We start from the raw sequence: 16,356 nt of genomic DNA, 5'->3' as shown, positions 1-16,356 counted from the left end.
TTAAACTGCAGCTGGGCACCAGGGCCGGCGGTCGGCGAGGCGGGGCGGGGCGGGGCAGGGAGGCCGGCCCTCTGGCAGAGGCAGCAGCTCCAGGAATCACCAGGGCCGGCGGGCGGTGGGGTGGGGCGGGGAGGCCGGCCCTCTGGCAGATGCAGCAGCTCCAGGAAGCCTGCCGGCCTGGGTTCCCTTTCCCTCCACATCCGCCGCTCCTCCCCATCTTGCTGGGCTCCGGACAATGGGAGCCTCCAAGGCTGAGGCTGCCCTGGCTTCCCGGAGGAGACCCATGCCCTACAGCTTGGGCCTGCTGAGGTGCCTGGGGCTGGGGACGTGGCCAGCCTCACATCCAGCGTCCACGCTCCAGACGGGTTCCTCGGCACCCGCCCAGTGTGGACACGGCGGTGAACAGGGCAGGGCCCGCAGGAGAGGCCACTTTTCCTACGAAGCTCCGTGATGAGCGCATGCCGCTCTCGTAATGCACCGTGAACGTGCGGGTTCCTGGAGACGCCTCCCTCTCAGGCCTCACTGGTGGGCTGTGGCTGTGGGTGGACGTGGGGACACCTGAGGAAGGGCGGCGGCCGAGGCCCTGCTGGGAGGGGGGTAAGGAGAAGCTGCCGAGGCTGCCCTGCCCCTCTCCATGCCGAGCAGGCCACCCCCGCCCCACCATGGGTCCCCCAGAGGTGTGGACACCAGATCTGCCTCCAGGACCCTGGGGACGGGCTTGTCCCTGTCCCACGACGAGGTCACAGGCACTTTGTGGCAGCCTCTGAGCCACCCTCACTGTGTCCTCACCCCCTGCCCTCAGCGTCCACTGGCCTTGACCTGGCCAGGAGGCTCCCGGGCCTTTCTCTCCTCGGCTCCACTGAAGGAGGCTGAGCTGGCCTGGCCCGGCGCCTGCCCAGGCCCAGCTGGCAGTGGGGGTGGTGCTTTCTCTGCCTCCAAGGCTGCGGAGCCAAACCTCGGGCTGTGACATGAGGGTGACATGAGGGAGACCGGAGGGAAGTCACAGCTGGCCTCATAAAACCGTGAAAACGCCCTTCCACACCTGCCAGCAGAGAGGGCTCATCTTCCTCACTGTGTGACCGGGCCACGCTGCCTAACCTGTTTTCTCATCTGAATGATGATTCTAACGCCAATACCGGGCCTCATTTCTGTGTGAATATTGAAGGAGTTAGTTTATGTGAAACCACCCAGAACATACTGTTATCTTTTTAGTTTTTATTTATTTGTGTAATTTTTATTTATTTACTTTTTTTTTTTTTTGGCAACAGAATCTTGCTCTGTCGCCCAGGCTGGAGTGCAGTGGCACAATCTCGGCTCACCACAACCTCCGCCTCCCGGGTTCACGCCATTCTCCTGCCTCAGCCTCCCGAGTAGCTGGGACTACAGGTGCCCGCCGCCACTCCCGGCTAATTTTTTGTATTTTTTTAGTAGAGATGGGGTTTCACCATGTTAGCCAGGATGGTCTCGATCTCCTGACCTCATGATCCGCCCACCTCAGCCTCCCAAAGTGCTGGGATTACAGGTGTGAGCCACCGCGCCCGGCCATTTTTTTTTTTTTTTTTTTTTTTTTTTTGACAGAGTCTCGCTCTGTCACCCAGGCCGGAGTGCAATGTCGCAACCTTGGCTCACTGCAACCTCCACCTCCCAGGTTCAAGTGATTCTCCTGCCTCAGCTTCCTGAGTAGCTGGGATTACAGGCACCCACCACCATGCTTGGGTAATTTTTGTATTTTTAGTAGAGACGGGGTTTCGCCATGTTGGCCAGGCTGGTCTCGAACTCCTGACCTCAGGTGATCTGCCCGCCTCGGCCTCCCAAAGTGCTGGGATTACAGGCATGAGCCACTGTGCCGGGTCTGTTACTTTTTAAAAATAGGCATTTCATCTTCCAATATTTCTGTTGTAGGTAGGATCTTTTCTTCAGCAGATTTTCTGACCTGCGGTTGCAGAATGAAATTTGGGGATCTCTCTGTCCCTCTCTGCATGCATCCACCTGGCTCCCAGCGTCCCAGCTCCTTGCTGGTCTCACTGTCCCTCTCTGTCCCTCTCGCTCCGAGCGTCCCAGCACCTCGACGTACTCACTGTCTCTGAGTGGCGTCCGCCTCATGCCCCCTGAGCTGGTACCGCCCTTTCCCTCTCTGCCTCCTTGTGGGGTCCACAGCATCGAACGGTGGGCTCTCCCCCTCATCCCGCTTTCCCAGCAGAGGCAGCTTGGGCTTAGGCTGGGTCAGGTTCTGTCTCCAAGGCCCTCGGCTTCATGGATGAGGCAAGTGAGTAGGACTGAGGGTGAGGGGACCCATGACCGATGAGAGACGGTGCTGTGCTGGGGTTGTGGGCCGCTGTGTTGATAGAGCAAGGGGCTCCGTGCCAGATGCTGGACCTCCGGGAGCCCCTTCACCTCACTCCCCAGACACGGGCGGTCCTCTGCGGCGAGCCGAGGTGGAGGGCACACGCTGTCCGCCGGGCTTGGGGTCTCGTTGCCGCCTCTGTCCTTATCACGTCCCCCGCCCTGCCTGCAGCTGAGCACAGGCAGATGTGGGTGGAATCTGAGACCAGAGACGGTTGGGCTGGAGGGGGTGGCCCCATCTCAGCTGCCCCCGGACGCCAGAAGGCCACCAGGAGACAGACTCGTGGCAGAGGGACGGAGGCCCCAGTGCGTGGTGGGTGGGCGTGGCCTCTCAGGACACGCCTGCGGGAGGTGCCATGGGGTCTCTGAGGGGAGCTGAGGCCGTGGGCTGGCCCTTTCTGCTGTCCGTGGGCGGTCAGAGGACTGACCCAGGCGGGGTGCTGTGCTGATAGCAGGTGCCTGGACCCGTGGACATGCAGGTCACCACAGCGCGTGGGGTCTGGTCTGGGCGGCCGGGCTCTTCTACACTCACTGCCGCGGGGTCTGATGCTGCTGGCAGGTGTGGGACGGCCTTGGAGACGGGCTGTGAGCTTTGTGACCCAGGCCCCAAGAGGAGAGCCAGCTGCCGGGGAGACCCACTCGGGGGCTTTGTGAAGACCACGTCACAGACTTCCTGCCTGGAGGCCGGGTGTCCCCTGCCAGCATCCGCTGCCTGGTGTCCTCTGCCTGGCGCCCGCTGCTGGGGTCGGCCTCAGTTCCTGGGGCTTCTGTGCCCCCAACCCTGTGGATAAAAAGCCCCCTGTGTTTCTCATCCCCGCTTTATGGTAGAGTGTCGGGAATAACAGAGCCTTCGGCGCCACCCACTCCACAGCCCACAGTTTCCCGCGTGCGTCTGTGTCTCAAGGTGAAGGCAGCCCCATTAGCCGGGTGTCGTTTGGAGGAAGTGGCGTCCCTGTGTTCTGCCCATCCTGCGTCCCTGCAACCATCCGTCCTCCCGTCGGCCGGCGCGGGGGTGTCAGCTGGGGAGCCGTCCTGGGGACAGATGGTGGAGCCGTCCTGGCCGCCTCTGCCTGGACACCCTCAGGCCAACCCCACAGAGTTCCTGAGCCCTCCCAGGCACGTTTTGGGGAGGGTGGCTGGGGGGGAAGCCAGTGTGGGCACCAGGCTCTGGTGCTGGGCAGGGACCATGATTCAGCCCCCCAGAGAGAAGCAGCCCAGCTCTTGGATGTGAATCCACATTCGGGGGACTGTGGGACTTTTATTCTTGAGCTTGAGTTTTTTCTAGGTGTCCTCCTAATACACAGCTGCCCCGCTCTGCCCCCACCCACATGGTTCCAAGGGGCAGGGTCCAGGGTCAGGGCCCAGCCTCCTGGCCAGGGCCATCTGTCTCAGCGTCCTAGACCTGCCTGTCTGCAGGTCCCAGGCATCGGTGCAGCACTGATGAACTTGGCGAATTCAGGGAACTTGGGCCTGGGTGTGGAGGTGGGGGCCAGAGGCCACCCACGGAGCTCCGGCCAAACATCCACGCTGGGGACCAAAGGCCCCCAGAAGCTACTGCACGAGGAGGCGACCTCAGGGAGGGCTGGCTGGGGCTTCTGGGGCCGGAGAGCGGGTCTGGGAGGTCCCTCGGTGTCAGCTCCAAGCCCCACCCGCCCTTCTCGGACCCCGTGCCCCTGCGTGGTATCCCTGAGTTGGGGTGCGTGGGGTGCTGTGTGCTGAGTGGGGTGTGTCCCCCAGGGCTCTCCCAGGCACCCTGTCCTCTCACTGCTGAGCCCTGGGGCTCACAGAGCTCGCTTGTCTTCTTCGTTCAGACAGAAGCCGCCCCTGGACATCCTGTTTTTCTTCTGTTGTATGAACAGGAAGCCAGCAATTGTGTGGGATGAGTGTCAGCATGGCCGTGTCTGAGCCCGGCACGGCAGACACTTGTCCCGCCACACCTGCCATGGGTCCCTCCAGCTCTGGCCCGAGAGACTCAGGGCTCCCCAGGGCTCCCCAGTTGCGTGGGCTGTGAGCACCATGTGTGCACGGCTGGCCCTGGAATGGCTGGGGCGGGCACCGTGGAGTGTCCATCGTGCACCGGCCATGGCCTGGAAGGAGACCCAGGCGGTCACTGCCCTGGGGCTCAGCGTTGAGGCCACAGTGAAGCGACAGGGGCAGAAGGGCAGGGGCCGGGGGCCAGGCAGGGAGCGGGGGCCGAGGGCCAGGCAGGGAACAGAGGCGCTGAGGGAGGCAGACAAGGAGTAGGGGCCGGGGGCCAGGCAGGAAGCAAGGGCCGGGGGCCAAGCACGGAGCAGGGGTGCTGAGGGAGGCAGGCAGGGAGCAGGGGTGCTGAGGGGGCCAGGCAGGGAGCGGGGGTGCTGAGGGAGGCAGGCAGGGAGCAGGGGTGCTGAGGGAGGCAGGCAGGGAGCAGGGGTGCTGAGGGAGGCAGGCAGGGAGCAGGGGTGCTGAGGGGGCCAGGCAGGGAGCAGGGGTGCTGAGGGGGCCAGGCAGGGAGCAGGGGTGCTGAGGGAGGCAGGCAGGGAGCAGGTGTGCTGAGGGGGCCAGGCAGGGAGCAGGGGTGCTGAGGGAGGCAGGCAGGGAGCAGGGGTGCTGAGGGGGCTTCCGGGCAGGCTGCTGGGTGCTCGAGAAGCAGCCTCAGGCCCAAGGGGCAGGGTCCAGGTACACGGAGGTTGGAGGCTGGGAGGATGTGGTGGGCCCTGGCTTTGACTCTCAAGGCTGAGGGGCCACGGTGGAGTCCATAAAGTGGCCTGGCCTGCCCCATATTTCTGTAGGATGCTAGGGCTGTGCCGTGTTGCGCGGCTGGGTGTTGTCTGAGGGCACAGCGTCAAGGCAGGGAGTCCCCTGGGAATCTGGAGTGGCCCAGGTCGGTGGGAGGGGGCAGACCCTGCCCACCTGGAGGGCAGAACCAGCAGGACCTGAGCAGGGCAAAGACCAGCAACACTGACTGGGGAGTAGGAGGGCCGGCATCACCAACTTCCCACCTGGAAAGGTGGATCTCGATTTGGAGAACTTAAAAAGAATAATAAGGACACCCTGCTTATTGATGGATGGATTGATTGACAGGTTCTCACTCTGTCCCCCAGGCTGGAGGGCAGTGGCACAATCAGGGCTCACTGCAGCCTCAACCTCCCAGGCTCCAGCCATGCTCCCACCCCAGCCTCCCAAGTGGCTGGGACCTCAGGAGCGCCACCATGCCCAGCTAATTTTATTTATTTTGGTAGAGATGGGGTCTTGCTGTCTTGCCCAGGCTGGTCTCAAACTCCAGGGCTCAAGCGACCCACCCACCTCAGCCTCCCAAAGTGCTGGGATTACAAGTGTAAGCCACCTTGCCCAGCTTCACCCTGCTTTTAAAAATATGTGAAATATACATAACATGAAATTTACCATTTTAACCACTTTCCTGTGTACACTCAGTGGCATTAAGGGCACTCATGTGGCTGCACAGCTGCCACCACCGTCCACCTGCAGAACCTTCTCATCTCACGCATCTGAAACTCTGCTTTAAAAGAAAATCTGGGCTGGGCGCGGTGGCTCACGCCTGTCATCCCAGCACTTTGGGAGGCCGAGGTGGACGGACCAATTGAGCTCAGGAGTTCAAGACCAGCCTGGCCAACATGGTGAAAACCCGTCTCTACTAAAAATACAAAAATTAGCCAGGCGTAGCGGTGAGCGCCTGTACTCCCAGCTACTCCGGAGGCTGAGGCACGAGAATCACGAACCTGAGAGGTGGAGGTTGCAGTGAGCCGAGATCACAGCACTGCACTCCAGCCTGGGTGACAGTGAGACTCCGTCTCTAAATAAAATATTAACTTAAATAACAAAATAAAAGTCTCTTTTGTTTATTGTGAAGTGCAACCCATGTGTAGGAAGGAACGCAGAGCACATGATGCGGCTCGGCACATGATCGTGAACACACCACAGCACGCCCCGCCCAGCCCACCCTGGCCCCATCGCCAGCCATGCCCAGCATGCAGCACCCAGAATGCGGGGCCAGTCACACTGCCTGCCATGGCCACGTGGTGGGGTACGTCCTCCCCACCTGGGCATCGTCCCGGGGCTGATGCACTTGCTCCGTCCTCCTACAGTGGACATTTGAGTGTTCTCAGCCTCTGTATGCAGCACACTGTGCACGATGGTGGGACGGTTCTGAGCGCAGACGGGAACACTGGCCTGTGCCACCCAGGCCCAGGTGGCTGCAGAGACGCCATGGTGGAGCCTGGGCGCCCCACGGTGTTTTATGGTTTTTTGGTTTTTGTCTGAGACGGAGTCTCGCTCTGTTGCCCAGGCTGGAGTGCAGTGGCCCGATCTCGGCTCACTGCGACCTCCGCCTCCCGGGTTCATGCTGTTCTCCTGCCTCAGCCTCCCGAGTAGCTGGGACTACAGGCACCCGCCACCATGCCCAGCTAGCTTTTGTAGTTTTAGTAGAGATAGTGTCTCACCACGTTGGCCAGGCTGGTCTCGAACTCCTGACCTCAAATGATCCACCTGCCTCGGCCTCCCAAAGTGCTGAGATGACAGCCGGCTGGGTTTTGTTTTGCATGAGCTGCTTTTGTTACATTTCTCCCAGGGAATCTGACATTGCTGATGCTGTTGTAAGTGATTTTTGAAATGGCCATTTCTGTTTATTGCTGATTTTCTCATTTTGGCTTGTGCTGAGCATTGATGCCGAACCCATTGGTTAATTCTAACGGCGTAGTTTTGATCCTTCGTGGCTTTCTGTGTAATCAATCACATTGTCGGCCGGTCCTGATGTTTCTGTTTTCCTTCTGCATTGGATGCCACCTGCTTGGGACGGCTCCAGGCCGGGCTGTGGCATCCTTACGTGCTGCCCTGAGCACCACGTCTCACGCTCGCCCATGGCTTTTACCCAGTTCAGGGCGCTCCCTGCCCGTCCCAGGTGAGTTATTTCTTAAATTGTGAGCTGAACTGAATTTTAGAACACTTGCTCTGTGTCTACCGAAAGGGCCACGTGGTTCTCTCCTCCGTTCCGGTCCTGGGCTGAATCATAACCTTGGACTCTCCTGTTAAGTCAGCCTGGCTCTCTGGGGTGACCCCCGTCACACACGCTTCTCTGGCGTGTGTGGCAGAATCCAGCTGCTGAGGTCTGATCTGATCTCATGTGAGTCCTCAGCCTCCCTCGCAGCAACACGGGGCCTTCCCTGTTCCCGTCCTGCCCTGCAGGGGGGCCCAGCAGCTTCCACAGCCCCCCAGGTCCAGGGGGAGTTCACTGCGGAATCCACCCAGGCTCCTGTCCTCAGGCCTCCCCTGTGGAGTCCCTGCTGGCACCTGCCCCTCCCTGGCCTCCGACCCTGACCCTACCACATGACCAGGCCTGAGTGGGTCTCCACTCCCCTGCACCACCGGCCTCCAAGCCAAGCCACGCAGCCCCTGGGTTCTGTCTGGAAACCTCCCTCGGGTCTCGCTCTGGTGGCCCTGTCCGTGTGGGGCAGCGTCTTTGGTTGGCACTTTTGCTGCAGTGAGGTCGGGGGCCTCCCAGGCGGGGCTGGAGGGAGGGGGCGGCGCGGGAGGGCCGGGGACCGAAACCTAAAGAGGGCAGGGGCTTGGGGTCCTCGTGGTGCCAGGACTGCGGTGCAGGGTTTGGGTGAGAAGATGCTGATGAGGTTGCCGAGGGCGCCAGGCGGAGCAGGTAGAGGCTCAGGCCCACGAGGGCTGCTCTGCACCTGCAGCTGAAAGATGAGGCCCAGCTCCCAGGGCTGAGCGTGGTTGAAGTGCTGCTGGGCGGACTCAGCTGGATGGGCGGCCACGGGCCACAGGGAAGGAACAGGGTGGGTGCTGCCGCAGCTGGCAGGTGTGTTGTGTGTGTGCCAGACAGAGGTGGGGGAGGGTTCCCGGCCCCCCGGGTCCAGAGGAGCCCCAGGCATTGCGGGTCAGTGGGAGGGACTTCCCGGCGGGCTGTGCGATAGCCCCTGCACCTGCCTCTCCCTCCCACGGCTGTTATCTTATCTCCACAGGCCGGGACCCCCTCCTGCTCCTGCAGGCCCTGCAGACCCTGTGGTCCACGCGGGAGCGGAAGCAGGTGAGTGGACGTGGCAGCCACCACGTGCCAAGTCACAGCCAGCAGAACTGACTGTTGGGCAGAGACTGGCCTAACAGGAGGCCTCCCTGGTCAGGAAGCTGCACAGCCCCCCACGGCCACAGGGTCCTGCACAGCTGCTGCCCCAGACCGCCTCCAGGGTGGCCTGTGTGGGGCAGGGGGCGGTCCTCCTCAAGTCCCCAGGGTGGTAAAGGCACTGCCTGGCCCCAGCAGCCCCTCTGAGGTCACCTCTGGGAGGCGCAGGGGCCACTCACCTGCAGGGACACAGCTGTCGCCAGCACTGCCAGGCCTGAGGCCCCGTCCTGCCACCGCCAGAGCACCCAGGCCCGGGTGGCCACTGGGGCAGGTGTCCAGGACAGGGAGGCCTTAGGAAGGGGTGGGACTTGAGCAGGGCAGGAGGCTGGGCGGGAGAGGCCAGGGGAGAGGCTACAGAGGGAGGGCCGGCCCCCTGTGGGGGCAGACGCGGATTCCGGCTCCTTAGTGGCAATGGCCTGTGCACAGGAAGCTGCCAAGTCCTGAGTGCCGCGTCCTCTGGCCCGAGGTCGCTCCTGCAGGTCCGGGGGACGCCCTCCAACCCCAGCCCAGCTCCTCTGAGTGCCACATCCACTGGCCTGAGGTCACCCCTGCAGGCCCGGGGGATGCCCTCTGACCCCAGCCCTGGCGCTGCCTGCTCCTGTGTCTGCCTCTCTCCTGCACCCACCTCTGCCAGCTTTCGTTTGTCCATCAGCTCGGTGGCTTCTTGGGCCTCCAGCTTGTGAATCTCTGTCCTTGCTTTTGAGATTTCCCTCTGCCGTTCCATTTCCAGGCTCTCTTGTCGGACCTTCGTCTGTGACGCTCAGTCTTCCTCGCTCTTTGGCACCTGCGTGTGTGGTGTGAGCCTCCCCGGGTCCCGCCCTCTGCCCCCCGCCCCCCACGTGTCTGAGTTGTGGGATTCCACTGTCCTTTCCTCCCTATGTCCTGACATTCGTCCTGGCGTCTCCTTGGAGCAGCGCTTGTTTATACACAGACAGGGCTGAGATCTGCTCCGGGCTCCGCTGACAGCCATGAGGCCGTCAGGCATTTCATCTTCATGGGGTGGGCCTGTGTCTGTGCCCTCACCTCCTCCGCGCGCCCTCACCTCCTCCGCATGCTCCCACCTCCTCCCCGCGCCCTCACCTCCTCCCCGCGCCCTCACCTCCACCGCCGCCCTGACCTCCACCGCCGCCCTGACCTCCACCGCGCGCCCTCACCTCCTCCGCGCGCCCTCACCTCCTCCCCGCGCCCTCACCTCCTCCCCGCGTCCTCACCTCCTCCCCGCGTCCTCACCTCCTCTGCGTGCTCCCACCTCCTCCCTGCGCCCTCACCTCCTCCTCGTGCTCTCACCTCCTCCTCGCGCCTCCATCACATTCCCGGATTCCAGCAAGCTGGCGAATGCCACATGCCCAGTGGCCCTGGGTGGGCCAGGAGCCTTGAAGATGGGGTCCTTGGGGGTCCTGGGTGCTGAGGAGAAGCCCAACCCTAGAGCCGGCTGCACATGGAGGTCTTGGGGACCCCCATATGGTGGCACAGACGCCGGGTGCCCCCAGAGGAGGGAGATGAAGACCAGGATTTTGGAGAACTCCTTGGGGCGGTCTGCAGTATAAAGGGGGCAATGGGACTGTTGGCCGTCTGGGAGGGCTTAGGTGTTCCTCTAACGTGAGAGAGGAGCCAGCACACCGGGCGGGTGAGAGCAGCCTGGGAGACGGGCAGGAGGAGGAGGCAGGGCTGGGGCGGGGTGAGGGCCTGGAGTAGGCGCACTCCCAGAGTGGGGCTCCCCTGGTTCATTGGGCCCTTCCCAGCCCCACTGCCCAGCAGCCTGTGGTGGGGTGTTCCTGTCTTTTTTTTTTTTTTTTTTTTTTTTGAGAAGGAGTCTTGTTCTGTCACCCAGGCTGGAGTGCAGTGGTGCAATCTCGGCTCACTGCAAGCTCCGCCTCCCGGGTTCAAGGGATTCTCCTGCCTCAGCCTCCGGAGTAGCTGGGATTACAGGCGCGCGCCACCACGCCCGACTAATTTTTTTTTTGTATTTTTAGTAGAGACGGAGTTTCACCATGTTGGCCAGGCTGTTCTCGAACTCCTGACCTCAGGTAATCCGCCCGCCTCGGCCTCCCAAAGTGCTGGGATTACAGGTGTGAGCCACCGCACCCAGGCTTTTCGTGTGTGTGTGTGTGTGTGTGTGTGAGACAGAGTCTTGCTCTGTCACCCAGGCTGGAGTGCAGTGGCATGATCTCGACTCACTGTAACCTCCGCCTCCCAGATTCAAGTGATTCTCTTGCCTCAGCCTCATGAGTAACTGGGATTAATAGGTGTGCAACACCACGCCTGGCTATTTTTGTATTTTTAGTAGAGACAGGGTTTCACCATGTTGGCCAGGCTGGTCTTGAACTCCTGACCTCAAGCAATCCACCTGCCTCGGCTTCCCAAGATGGTCCTGTTGTAACAGGGTGGTCCTATCCTAACAGCCCCTCGGGGGGGCCTTCTGGTGCTGCTGAGCCCATGGGACCCCCCCAGCCCCACTACTGAAGCCGTGAGTGGAGCCAACAGCTCAGTGCAGGGGATGCCAGCCAGCAGGGAGGAAGGGGGATACCGGCGGGGGGATTGGGGGGGATGCCCAGAGGGGGGTTGGGGAGGAGGGGGGATACGGGTGGGGAGGATTGGGGGGATGCCCAGAGGGGCATTGGGGTGGGGGGGAACCAGTGGAGGGATTGGGGGGGATGCCCAGAGGGGGGATACTGGTGGGCGTTATCGGGGGGGACGCCCAGAGGGGGGTTGGGGTGGGGGAGATACCGGTGGGGGGATTGGGGGGGATGCCCGGAGGGGGGTTGGGGTGCGGGGGATACTGGCGGAGGGATTGGGGGGGACGCCTGGAGGGGGGTTGGGGAGGAGGGGGGATACCGGCGGGAGGATTGAGGGGGATGCCCGGACGGGGGTTGGGGTGGGGGGGGATACTGGCAGGGGGATTGGGGGGGACGCCCAGAGGGGCATTGGGGTGGGGGAGCTCACATTGTTTTCTCCGTGCACAGCAGGAGGCTCTTTGTAGCTGAGGGGACCAGGAATGAGGAGTGAAGACCAGTGAAGGGCTCGAAGGGAGGAGGGACCGGCAGGGTGGGTGGGACGGCTTCCTTCACAGGGACCCCGGGAGGGAGGCAGGCAGCGCAAGGGGAGCCCAGTCTCAGAGCCATGGGTCCCAAGGGTCTTGGCACGTTCATTGAGGCCACCAAGATAAGGACAGGAGCTGGAAGGAGATGCCTGGGCCAGGACTGAAGTCTCCCGGAACAACGGGCTGGGACCCTGAGGCTGGCAGGGGTGCAGTGGGCACTGGGTCCATGTGTGGCTTGCGCTGGCCGACGTGGGCACACAAGGGGCACAGCTGCCACTGGGGGCCTGGAGGGGAGGACCCAGCTGGGGTCTGGAGGGCCAGGATTTTGCAGAAGGTTTACGGGACTGAAGCAGGAGTGAGGGAAGGCGGGCTGTGGTTAGAACGGGTGCTGCAGAACTCCGGGGGTGACAGAAACCAGCCTGGGCGAGAGCGCACCCCAAATCAGAGCCACGGAGCGTCGGCTTCATCGAATGCTTTATTGGGGTAAGATGCACGACATATAAAACCAGCCGTTTCACAATGAGTGACTCAATGGCCTGGAGCGCCCAGTCGTGCTTCGTGAATCTTTCTACATCTTCACAACCTGTGCACCTCTTCTGGTTTCAGAATGGTTCATCGCTTCAGAAGCAAACCCCGTACCCCTCACACAGACGCCCCATTCCCCTCGGCCCCAGGCAACGGTCACCGTCACCCGCAAACCCCGTACCCCTCACACAGACGCCCCATTCCCCTCAGCCCCAGGCAACGGTCACCGTCACCCACAAACCCCGTACCCCTCACACAGACGCCCCCATTCCCCTCGGCCCCAGGCAACGGTCACCGTCACCCGCAAACCCTGTACCCCTCACACAGACGCCCCCATTCCCCTCGGCCCCAGGCAACGGTCACCGTCACCCACAAACCCCGTACCCCTCACACAGACGCCCCATTCCCCTCGGCCCCAGGCAACGGTCACCGTCACCCACAAACCCCGTACCCCTCACACAGACGCCCCCATTCCCCTCGGCCCCAGGCAACGGTCACCGTCACCCACAAACCCTGTACCCCTCACACAGATGCCCCATTCCCCTCGGCCACAGGCAATGGTCACCGTCACCCACAAACCCCGTACCCCTCACACAGACGCCCCATTCCCCTCGGCCCCAGGCAACGGTCACCGTCACCCACGAACCTTGTACCCCTCACACAGATGCCCCATTCCCCTCGGCCCCAGGCAATGGTCACCGTCACCCACAAACCCCGTACCCCTCACACAGATGCCCCATTCCCCTCGGCCCCAGGCAACGGTCACCGTCACCCACAAACCCTGTACCCCTCACACAGACGCCCCATTCCCCTTGTCACACAGGCCCTAGCCACTGCTCACCCGCTTTCTGCCTCTGGATTTGCCACTTCTGGACAGTTCACACACATGCGGTCACATAACATGGGGTCTTTTGTGACTTGCTTCTTCATTTAGCACGATATCAAGGCTTGTCTATGTGGATGTCTGTGTCAGCTTCCTCCTTTTCCGTGGCTGAGTAATACGTGGCCAGGCCACATGCTGTTTCTTCATAGACAGCTGAGGGTCATCTGCGCCATCTCCACCTCTGGCCGTTGTAAATAAGTACTTCTCTGAAAATTCATCTACAAACATCTGCGTGAGCCCCTGTTTTTAAATCTTTGGGGAGGACGGGTGTGGTGGCTCACGGCTGTAATCCCAGCACTTTAGGAGGCTGAGGTGATAGGATCACCTGAGGTCAGGACTTCAAGACCAGCCTGGCCAACAATGGCGAAACCCCATCTAAACCAAAAAATACAACAATTAGCCGAGCGTGGTGGCATGCACCTGTAGTCCCTGCTATTTGCGAGGCTGAGGCAGGAGAATCACTTAAACCCCAGAGGCGGAGGTTGCAGTGAGCCAAGATCATGCCACTGCACTCCAGCCTGGACGACAGAGTGAGACTCCATCTCAAATAATAAATAAATAAAAATAAATAAACAAATAAATCTTTGGGAAACTGCCTGGAATAGAATTGCTGGGTCATGTGGTAATCATGTTTATCTTTTTGAGGAACTGTCAAACTACTACTTTTATTAAAAATTTCAGCCAAGTGCAGTGGCTCATGCCTGTAATCCCAGCACTTTGGGAGGCCAAGGTAGGCGAATCACGAGGTCAGGAGTTTGAGACCAGTCTGGCCAACATAGCGAAACCCTATCTCTACTAAAAATATAAAAACTTGGCCAGGCGTGGTGGCCTGCACCTGTAATCCCAGCTACCTGGGAGGCTGAGGCAGGAGAATCACTTAAACCGAGGAGGCAGAGATTGCAGTGAGCCAAGATCGCACCACTGCACTCCAGCCTGGGCGACAGAGCAAGACTCTGTCCCAGGAAAAAAAAAAAAAAAAAAAATTCAACGACTATTTTTTGTTTTCAAAGTTCTCTTAGGTTTCCTCCCTCCCTCCCTTCCTTTCTTTTTTGACAGAGCCTGGTTCTACGTCACCCAGGCTGGAGTGCAGTGGCGCAATCTCAGCTCACTGCAACCTCCGCCTCCCAGGTTCAAGCGATTCTCCTGCCTCAGCCTCCTGAGTAGCTGAGATTAAAGGTGCGCATCAGCACGTCTGGTCTTAAACTTCTGACCTCAAGCGATCCTCCCACCTTGGCCTCCCAAAGTGCTGGGATTACAGGCATGAGCCACCACACCCAGCCTTAGGTCCTTTTTGAAATCTGCCTTTCCCTTTTTTTTTTTTTTTTTAGAGACAGAGTCTTGTTCTGTCACCCAGGCTGGAGTGCAATGGCACAATCTCAGCTCACTACAACCTCCGCCTCCCGGGTTCAAAGGATTCTCCTGCCTCAGCCTCCCAAGTAGCTGGGACTACAGGCTCCACTATGCTGGCTAATTTTTTGTATTTTTGGTAGAGACGGAGTTCCGCTATGTTGCACAGACTTGTCTTGAACTCCTGAGCTCAAGCCATCGGCCTGCCTCGTCTTCTCAAAGTGCTGGGATTCCGGGCGTGGCCACTGCGCCTGGCTGATGCGTTGTTCCTGCATTTGCCCACCGACTCTCTGTGTTTGGCTGTAACCACGTTGCACGCTCAGTCAGTCGCTTGCTGCTCACAGAGTCCAGGTCAGAGGAATGAGGTCTGGTAGAAAGAAAGTGACTTTTTATTCCGTAGCTGGCTTGAGGGAAGAAGCGCAGGCCTCATGCCTGAAGGGTATGGGTATGGCTTAGCTTTTGGAGCAGAAAGAGGCTTTTTTTTTTTTTTTTTTTGAGATGGAGATTCTCTCTTGTCGCCCAGCCTGGAGAGCAGTGGCGCAATCTCGGCTCACCGCGACCTCCGCCTCCCAAGTTTAAGCAATTCTCCTGCCTCAGCCTCCCGAGCAGCTGGGATTACAGGCATGTGCCACCATGCCTAGCTAATTTTGTATTTTTAGTAGAGACGGGGTTTCTCCATGTTGGTCAGGCTGGTCTCCAACTCCCGACCTCAGTTGATCCGCCCACCTTGGCCTCCCAAAGTGCTAGGATTACAGGCGTGAACCACCATCCCCGGCCAAAAGAGGCATTTTTAAAAGGTCGGGAGGAAGCGAGCAGGTGGGGGGGTCTCTGTGCCTTATCTACCTGGAAGTTGAGTTGGCATCTCCATGGGCAGAAAGAGGCTGTGAAGGTGGCCGGAAACTCCAGCAGGCACACTTTGGGCCGTAAATCTACTTGTCTCTCGAGGCGGCCTCCTGCAGGCGAGTTCTGCTCTGAGCCTCTAAGCACATGGATAGATGAGCTTGCCCTGTAGGGAGTGTCTGGTGAACAGGAGGTGGAAGGCTATCATTGCATTTCTTTTTTTTTTTTTTTTTTTTTTTTTGAGACAGAGTCTTGCTCTGTCGCCCAGGCTGGAGTGCAGTGGCACAATCTCGGCTCACTGCAAGCTCCGCCTCCTGGGTTCACGCCATTCTCCTGCCTCTGCCTCCCGAGTAGCTGGGACTACAGTCGCCCGCCACCATGCCCGGCTAATTTTTTGTATTTTTAGTAGAGACGAGGTTTCACTGTGTTAGCCAGGCTGGTCTCTATCTCCTGACCTCGTGATCTGCCCGCCTCAGCCTCCCAAAGTGCTGGGATTACAGGCATGAGCCACCGTGCCTGGCCACTATCATTGCATTTCTAAAGAAATAAGTAAGAAGTGGGGAAAGGAGGAAAGAGAAGAGAGAGTAAAATATAAGTGAACAATCGTTTAGTAAAATGGGGGTAGTTGCTTACACATTCCCAAATCGATGTCCCGTTACTCCCCATTCTCAGAGCTTTAGTCAACCTACTTGTGGGTGTCACTCATGGTGGCTTGCTTCCTTGTGTGTTTTCTAAGTTTTCATTGTGAGCTCATTTACTGGAACTTTTTCCCTCTGGTGACCTAGGGCCCACGTGTCCCGGCAAAGTGATTAAAGAATGATGTTTTGTTTCTGCCAACTTAACTACAGATAGAACTCACTAGGGCTAGAACTCACTAGGGCTAGAACTCACGAAAGCTAGAACTCATGAGAGCTAGAACTCGCTAGAGCTAGAACTCACTAGAGCTAGAACTCACTAGGGCTAGGACTCACTAGATATAACTCACTAGGCCTAGAACTCACTAGAGCTAGAACTTGCCAGCGCTAGGACTCACAGGAGCTAGAACTCACTAGGGCTAGAAGTCACTAGGCCTAGAACTCACTAGAGCTAGGACTCACTAGACCTAGAACTCGCTAGAGTTAGAACTCGCTAGAGCTAGAACTCACTAGAACTGTAACTCACTAGAGCTGGAACTCACTAGGGCTGGAACTCGCTAGAACTAGAACTCACTAGAGCTAGAACTCACTAGAGCTGGAACTCACTAGAGCT

General features: G+C 59.7%; 1 protein-coding gene across 8 annotated transcripts in view; it reads left to right on the top strand.

Annotated features, from left to right (window-relative positions):
• EXD3 (exonuclease 3'-5' domain containing 3) overlaps positions 1 to 16,356 on the top strand; it is a 116,267-nt gene that overhangs the window by 31,470 nt on the left and 68,441 nt on the right. For 7 of the 8 annotated variants that reach the window (NM_017820.5, XM_047423544.1, XM_047423543.1 and 4 more), the window contains exon 3: positions 8,316 to 8,380. In NM_017820.5, the coding sequence (NP_060290.3) occupies positions 8,316 to 8,380 (65 nt within the window). Of the gene's footprint in view, positions 1 to 8,315; positions 8,381 to 10,446; positions 10,501 to 14,411; positions 14,620 to 16,356 lie in introns of all 8 variants that reach the window. The other variant, NR_104598.2, reaches the window with a different exon arrangement.

Source organism: Homo sapiens, chromosome 9 (assembly GCF_000001405.40).
Source record: "Homo sapiens chromosome 9, GRCh38.p14 Primary Assembly".
Classification (NCBI taxonomy): Eukaryota; Metazoa; Chordata; class Mammalia; order Primates; family Hominidae; genus Homo; species Homo sapiens.
The sequence above is the reverse complement of the archived record's forward strand: the minus strand, read 5'-3'. Positions and strand labels throughout refer to the sequence as shown.